General features: G+C 38.6%; 1 annotated feature.

Moving 5' to 3' along the window:
• Window positions 6,937-7,106: an enhancer, noted in NCBI's record as "experimental_17754 CRE fragment used in MPRA reporter constructs". NCBI's record gives its function as "activates a minimal promoter by MPRAs in K562 erythroleukemia cells, with activity observed for the non-introgressed 10:86690083 variant allele {active_cell/tissue: K562}" and the evidence as "EXISTENCE:reporter gene assay evidence [ECO:0000049][PMID:34662402]".

Below are 8,910 nucleotides of genomic sequence, written 5' to 3' on the forward strand. Positions count from 1 at the left end.
GAGGAGGTAAGTAAGTGGAGGCAAAATGTGTAGATAAATCTGAAGGAATGCTTTCTGCAAAGATAGAAAAGAACATTGGAATTGTGGAAACCAGTAGATATAGTTTTAAAGGTGGGAGAGGCTAGAAAAAGTTTCAATAATAATGGGAAGGATCCAGAAAAAAGGAGAGGATGGAGATACTGGATGTGGAGGAGATACTGCTAAAGCCAGGTCCAGGGAAGGCAGGAGGAGGTGCAGGCCAGCTACTGGCAGAGAAATTGGCCAGAACAAGAGGAGAGGCAGTTTCTCATTTTGATAGATGGCCACAAGGAGAGGACAGGTGCATTTGTAGATAGGTTTCTATAATTGGTGGTAGGAACTTCAGGAGGTTATCCTATGCTGGTTTAAATAACCTTATTAAAGATTGAAGCAAGGTGATTGACAGAGTGGGGCTGAGAGACAACTTGGATATTTGAGAAATACCGAGAAGATATTGAAAAAGTTGGTTAAGAAAAGATAATTGAGTTACCAGCTGGTTGTCTTGGTGATTATGTGTTTACAGTGACATTAACTTGCCTACTGTGTGTGATTTTCATGAATTGTGCTTGGCTATGTACAGGCCTGGAGAAAGCAATAGGTCATCGATGGCTGCAGTTTTGCTAGGTGGCCTCATGGGAGGAAGAAGGAGTGTGGAAGTTTAGAGGTTTGGAAAGATAATGGTGGACTGTGAGATCTAAGCTGGGTGAGGAGGAAGATGGAGAAAGTATTGGAAGAAGTTTGGGTGTGTCAATTGAATGTGATTGAAGCAGGCAAAGTAGAGGCGCTGTAAAAGGTGTTGAATAACAAGTGGAAGGAGGTGGTCAGCTTTTCATTAGAGACCTTGTACAAGGTGTTATTATAGGAAAACGAGGGTATATTTGGGGATTTTGTGTACTGAAATGAATGGGCCGACAGTGTTCTGTAGAAGTAAGGAGCTTAAGGAAGTGAAAAACCTGACTATTCAGTAAGCAGGTCATCCTTGTGGAATCATAAGAATGATGGCTTTTTGGAGTTGAGCCAAGAAGAAGCAGGTGAGCCAACAACTTTGGAAAACAATGGAGAGTGACCAAATGTCTATAGAGGATGAGAATAAAGAGGAGAGGTTGGTGCAGCCAGGAGAGCTGAGCTTCATTATTTCAATTTGTATATTTGTAAATGGAGCATTTTAAATGTTTAACATTTGTACATTGTAAAGGTTGACCTGAGTCCATGGGTTCACACTTGTTACCTACATTGCACTGGACTCTTATGACTTTCCTGTTCATGACTTTTTTCCATTTCTCTGTTGGAGTTTTAGTGTTTTTACTCATTTATTGTACAAGTCATTTATATGTTAGGATTAGACAACTTTTTTGTCTGCTATCTGTTGCAAATATTTTTCTAAATATACTTTTTGATTGTTGATTTGGAAACTATTAATCGTGGATTTGTGTTAATCATTAACACAAAAATTAGAGCCAAATACAGAACTTGTACATTTTTAAGCAACATATCTATGTTTATTATTTCTTTTAATTTGAAATTTAAAATGTTATTCCAAAGTTAAATATTTGATTAAAATTGCATTAAATTTTATTGTACATTTTAAAGCAGTTGTGAAGTTTAGTATTTAACTTATTTATTCCTCTGAATTTTCTCTGTATTTAGTTTTAGGTAGTTTTCTATAATTTTCTTTCTATATAACCAACCATGAGAAATTAACTTTCCCACTGATTTCAAGCTACCAATGTGACCTCAACCAGATCACAAAATTCCTGAAAATTTAACAATATGCTCTCACAAGCTGGTACATGTGGCTCTGCACATCACTGTTGCTTCTGCTTCATTACTTTCTGCTTAGAGAACTTCATTAGGCATCATCTTTGCTTTATTACCCCGATGAACTTTGGAATCATTTCGTCAAGTTCTCCTCAAAACTGTCCAGTTTTATGATAAGAATAAAATTAAATCCATGTACTAATCAAATAATTAAAAATTATGTTATAGAGTAAACTTTATTGCAGTTTTTTTAAATTTGCATAATGTTTTATTGCTTTTTAATATGGAATTTGCCACATTACTCTTTCTATGGTATCTATAATGTCATCTCTTTTATTTATATTGTTTATGCAATTTTTGGAAGCTGGTTATTCCTGGATATAAGGAATAAGTACATTTATCTTATATAAAGTCACTTTGAAGGATCAATGCTTTTTAACCTCATTATGGAACTCAGTGGATCATAAAGCCATGTGTTCCACCTTCACAACCCATATTCATTTTTTAAGTTCATTTTTAAAGGTTAGTTTAAGACTATTAAAGTATTGTAAAACTACTACTGAGCATTCTTGTGTGCCCTTCACCCAGCTTCCCCCAAAGATAATGTCTTATATAGCCACAGTGCATCATCAAAACCAGGCAATTGATATTGCCACAACTAAAGTATAGACCCTTTGCAGATTTACAATCAGTATTTCTTTAAAAATGAAATAGAAGAGAATAGGATTATCTTCTAGAACAAACATACCAGAGGGCATCATAAGAAATATAAGTATGTATGTATGTGTTATAAAAGTTTTATTTTACTTTTATTGGTTTGAGATGTAAAATGTCAGGGCTGTGATCAAAAAGTTCAAAAAATATTGTGCTAGATTCTCTTTTTAATTACAATAATCTTTCTTAGTACCTGAGTAGATTTAGAATGTGGTAGTTGTATCTTTGAAAAGATTAAAAAATAGGCATCCTCATTGTTTAAAAGGCACCAACCCTGAGGAAGAAGGTAAGGTCATCTCCTGGCCACACACTTCTGCATCATGTCACATGACCCATCAAGTTAGTTATTTAGATGTCAGGTTTCAATCTGACTATTTTAAGCTCCAAGTGTTTTACACTCTGGGCAATTAGGATATTTATCTCAGAATAGATTAATTTCAGAGTTGAAGGATCTATGAGACAATTTGGATGGAAAGAGTTAGGTAACTTGCCAATGTCAGGTCAGTCTGTCTCTGAAATTCACATTTTGGCATTTAACAATGTTTTGATTGAACAAATATCTCTTCTGATTACTGCATGTGAAGACTCAAGGATAAATAGTTTTTAATTTGTCCTTTTGGTGGCTCCCAGCGGGAAGGTATTTGTAAATCTAGAATAATGGCACTTGTGCTACAATAGTTATGATGGAGGCGTTTGCAGGTGCTGCAGGCAAAGCACAGTGAAGGGCATCCAACAGGAGAAGTGTTGGCCTCATGAGCAGTTGAGGGACCCCTGTCCTGAGTCTTGAAGGCTCAGATGGATGAGATAGGGAAGTCATAAGAACTGAGGAAAGAGCACGTGAAATACGCAGAGGTGAGAGACTGTAGCATTGGGGAGGTAAGAGGGTACCGAGATTTTTCTTCTTTCACTGGTGTGTGTTTTGGGAAAAATTAGACAGTGAAGAAAATACCCAATTCTTACAGTGGCAAATGTGAGAAGGACCCTGGAAGTCAGAAGAGCGGGTGTGTTGTGGGAGGGCTGCCCTCTGAGGCATGTTAACAGTGCTCCATAATTACCACTTGACAAGGACAAAGGCAAATCCAGCGATGCAGAGAGCCCACAAACCTCCAAAATCTTACAAGCGAATCAACTAATCGTCATCAAATACTTAATTGGGAGCCCGCCCAGTCTGCACTCCATATTCCTTATGTCATATTCCTTATGACAGAAACATCCTAGGCCTGGCATTAGTATGCTGCCACACTTGCATTCACTTTGTCGCGTCAGTCTGTTGTTTTGCAGCCAGCATAAATCAATAGTAACCGGCCGGGCGCGGTGGCTCACGCCTGTAATCCCAGCACTTTGGGAGGCCGAGGCGGGTGGATCATGAGGTCAGGAGATCGAGACCATCCTGGCTAACAAGGTGAAACCCCGTCTCTACTAAAAATACAAAAAATTAGCCGGGCGCTGTGGCGGGAGCCTGTAGTCCCAGCTACTCGGGAGGCTCAGGCAGGAGAATGGCGTGAACCCGGGAAGTGGAGCTTGCAGCGAGCCGAGATTGCGCCACTGCAGTCCACAGTCCGGCCTGGGCGACAGAGCGAGACTCCGTCTCAAAAAAAAAAAAAAAAAAAAAATCAATAGTAACCACCCAGGGTGTAGGGATTGTTGGAGGTTTGGCTCACAATGAAAGCAGAACAAACCCCAAACCACAGGCGTACCCACAGCCTAGACCTATAGGCATCTCTGAGACCCAGGGAGCCAGGGAGCTATTCCAGCCCTCCGAGATGGCTATGGGTTAGGAATAATAAATAAAGTTATTCACTGTTTAATCTTTTCCTACCTGCATCCCCTGAAAACCTCACTCAGTAAAGGGCAGCTTGTTTGAGGCTGGTGTGGGAGGAATTCCGATGAAGCTATGTGCCCAGATCTGCACAGTGAGGCGCCTTGCTACTAGATAGATGTCCCTGCCTCTGCGTACCCGCCAGTGTAACCTGTGTGGACCTCATGGTTTGGCTGTTGATACAGTGGGTTGCAGCCAGATGGCGCCTGAGTGTGACTGTCACTCAGAGAGCCTGTTCTTCTTAACCCTCTCCTACAACTCAACCCTGTTCAATTATGTGATTGGAATTTCTTGAAAAGAAATACCAGAGACATTATGATTCTAGTGAAGATTTTTTTTTTAAATCACTGGAGGAGAGGTTGGAAATGTCAAAGGATCTAAAAGCACTCTGGAAATCCTCTTTGGGGAGTATTTTTGGGGAATATAATTGTGTGTGTATGCGTGGGTATGTAAAATGCTGGTGGCAGGTCAAGGGCCTGGAAGAAAGATCACAGAGCTGGAGATGCCCAATTCTTTTCCCCATGGACCAACAACTTCTATCACTGATCCTGAGTCATTGGAACTTTGCTCCTCACCTTTCTGCCAAAAAATACTGGAGGACTTAACTTTTATTCCTTTTATTCTTTTCCTCCTGAAATTTGCCCCATACCGAGGTCCCAGTGTTGACGGGAGGTTTCCTGAGGCTGTAGAAGCGGACTGTGGAACACACAGATTAATGCCAAATAGGAATCTGGCTGTCCAGAGTGTGGGAGGAGGACCTGTTGGCCCCAGTCAGAGAAATGTGAAGCTTCTATGAGTCTCCTCATCACAACTCAGTAAAGTACTCTTGGATTTTTCCACCTGACCTTGAGTTTCTGTTATTCCCCTCTTCAAGGTTCAGCTACCTTCTTCAGGTCCGATTTGCTTCTTTTCTTTCTCTTGATTAGTGAATCTTAATCTAGCCTGAGGGTAAAAGTCTCTCCATCAATGGTCCAAATATTTTGTTTATGACATAAATGCTGGAGGCTGAGATCTTCAAAACTCAGGCTTTTGAAATCCAGAAGCCTCTTAGTTGCTTGTGTGTTGTGCAGGTTTCCTCAATGAAGCAATGCTGCTGCTGGCTGAGAAGGCAGGAAGGGGAAGGGGTGCAGATAAGGAGGGAGAGGACACCTCAGACACCCTCCGATAGCCTTGACTGGATGGACAGCAGCCTTCTTAGGGCTTGGATGACCACGATGCCCCATAGGTGCTAGGATTGTTTTGAAAATTCTTGTAATAAGACATGAAAAACAAATAAGAGACATAAATATTTAAGTAAAATTAATTGATGATTTGCAGGTGACATGATTACCTCAAAAATTTAAAGCAATCAATTTAAGGACTATTACCATTATACTTCAAAATGTAGAAGAGTGGCATAATAAAAGGTAGACAAAACTAAACAGATTTGTTTCGCTTTAATCACCATCGATAAGATGTGAAATACAAAAAAAAAAAGCTATTCAAAGTAATAGAAAACAAGATGAATATACCCAGTGGTTTTAGGCACTTCATTTTTTCCTGTCATCTACCATATGACACACACAACATTATTCCTATTTTTCTAAAAAGAATCTTGAGTACCAAAAGAGACTTTGCTGCTAAGTTGCCATACTACTTCATCTTAGAATCAATAGAGCAACAGAATATAATAAATACATAGATTCTAAAAAAAACCTCTGTATAATGAAACATAATAAAATTGAGAGAAAAAGGACTACTTACTAGAAAATGTTTATATCAAATAAGACAGTTACAAAAAAAAGATAAAGTGCTTAAAGAGCTTATGCAAATGCACAAGCACTCACAAAAACACAATCGTTTACTGTGTAAAGAATGTGAACAAACAAAAGTGCATCTATAATTAGCAAATAAATGATTGGAAAGTGCCCATTATTTTTAGTGTTCAAAAAATGGCTAATGTAAAAGACCTGTGGAAATCATTTTGCAGCTATTAAAGAAGCACAATGAAAACTTATGATAACAGAACTTGAAGTTGGCCAGTTTATGGTCCTGCTTGCAAGATTATTCACTGATGGTGGTGTTTGAGGTGGAAAGAATTCTTTTGAACAGTGTTGTAGGAATATTTAGAATGAGCCATAAAGGTAATTATATTTCTTGACCCAACCATTTCAGACCCTATGAATTTATCCTAAGGAAATATTTTCCAGGAAAAAAACTCCATTTTTGCACAGATGATAGGTTTGCTGCAGCAGAGAGAGGGGTGTGGTGGTTTAGTGCCTACACTGAGGAGTCCATGCTCTTGGACTCATAAGTCTCTCACTCAACTACTTGGTGACTTCCAGAAGTAATGTGACTTCTCTGTATCTCAGCTTCTTCATGGCAATAAGAATGATGAAGCCTAAATAGTGGGTTGTTGTGATGATTAAATGAATTCACAAATATAGAGTATCTAGAAAATGTCTGGTGTATTGTAACCGTTCTATTAGTTAATATAAACTATGATCATGGGAAACATTTTAAAAAAGGAATCAATTACCTCACACTAAGAGGATTGTTTAACATTTATATTGCCCTGACATGATGCTATTTATAAAACCACTAAGAAGGTATTTTGAGGACTTTACAATGGGAAAACGAATTTATAATAGAATATTCAGTAAAATAAAGGACTAAAAATGCTGAAGTTACTATGATCACAACCATGCAAAATATGTATAAAGGAGGAAAGACGAAAATTGTTCTGTAGGAGTAATTTGTTGGATTGAGGGTTTGTGGAGCATTTTTCTTCCATCTTATTTTGCTGTTTTTAATTAAAAATAAAAAAACCCAATACCATTCCTAAACTACAAGCACACCACAGAGATATTGCGGGTTCAGTTCCAAACCACAGCAATAAAGCAAATATCGCAATAAAGTTAGGCACATAAATTTTTGGTTTCACAGTGCATGTGTAGGTTATGTTTACACTGTACTGTAGTTTAAGTGTGCAATAGGATTGTGTCTAAAAAATGAATATAGATTAATTTTAAAATACTTTTTTTGTGTGAAAAATTGCTAATGATTATCTGAACCTTCAGTGAGTTGTAATCTTTTTGCTGGTGGAGAGTCTTGCCTCTAGGTTGGTGGCTGCTGACTGATCAGTGTGATGATTGCTAAAGGTTGGAATGGCTGGGAAAATTTCTTAAAACAATGAGGTTTACTGCATTCATTGACCCTTTCATGAAGAATTTATCTGTAACATGCAATTATGTTCAATAATATTTTACTCACAGTAAAACTTCTTTCTTTTCTTTTTTGAGACGGAGTCTCGCTGTCTCCCAGGTTGGAGTGCAGTGGCACGATCTCTGCTCACTGCAAGCTCCGTCTCCCAGGTTCACACCATTCTCCTGCCTCAGCCTCCCAAGTAGCTGGGACTACAGGTGCCCTCCACCATGCCTGGCTAATTTTTTTTTGTATTTTTAGTAGAGACGGTGTTTCACCGTGTTAGCCAGGATGGTCTCGATCTCCTAACCTCGTGATCCGCCCCCCTCGGCCTCCCAAAGTGCTGGGATTACAGGTGTGAGCCACTGCGCCCAGCCAAAACTTTCAAAATTTGAGTCAATCTTCTCAAACTCTGCCACTGATGTAACAACTAAGGTTACAGAATATTCTAAATCTTTTGTTGTGATTTCAATAATATTCACAGCATCTTATTGGGATTAGATGCCATCTCAAGAAACCACTTTCTTTGCTCATCCCTAATAAGCAACTCCTCATCTGTTCAAATTTGATCATGAGATTGCAGCAATTCAGTCACTTCTAATTCTAGTTCTCTTGCTATTTCCATCACATCTGCAGTTACTTACTCCACTGAAGTCTTGAAGCCCTCAAAGTCATGTAGAAGGGCTGGAATCAACTTCTTCATAACTCTTGTTAATGTTGATATTTTGACCTCTTCCCATGAATCACAAATGTTTTGAAGGACATCTAGAATGGTGACTCCTTTCCAGAAAGTTTTCAGTTTACTTTGTACAGATCTATCAGAAGAATCATGAATGGCTTATCTTGGATTTTGACACGACTTCCTCACCAAGCTTAATTATTTCTAGCTTTTGATTGACAGTGAGTGACTTGCGACTCTTCCTTTCATTTGAACACTTAGAGGCGATTGTGGGATTATTAATTGGTGTAATTTCAACATTGCTGTGTCTCGGAATAGGGAGGCTTGAGAGGAGAGAGTGAGAGGGGAATAGCCAGTAGGTGGAACAGTCAGAACACAAACACTTATCATTTAAGTTTGCTGTCTTATATGGGTGTGTTTTGTGGTGCCCCCAAACAAAATTATAATATCAAGATTGCTGATCATAGATCACCTAACAGATATAATAATAATGATAATAATAAAGTTTGAAATATTGTAAGAATTACCAAAATGCAACAGACATGTGGTGAGCACTTGCTGTTGGAAAACTGGTACTTACAGGCCTGCTCAACGCAGGGTTGCCACAAACCTTCAACTTGTAACATATACAATATATGTGAAGAGCAATAATGCAAAGCACAATAAAACAAGGTATGCATATAATTTCTTTTAAACACCACCTTTTGCTTTGACTGCTCTAGAGCACAAAATCATGCAC

This window comes from Homo sapiens, chromosome 10, assembly GCF_000001405.40.
Source record: "Homo sapiens chromosome 10, GRCh38.p14 Primary Assembly".
In the NCBI taxonomy this organism is placed as follows: domain Eukaryota; kingdom Metazoa; phylum Chordata; class Mammalia; order Primates; family Hominidae; genus Homo; species Homo sapiens.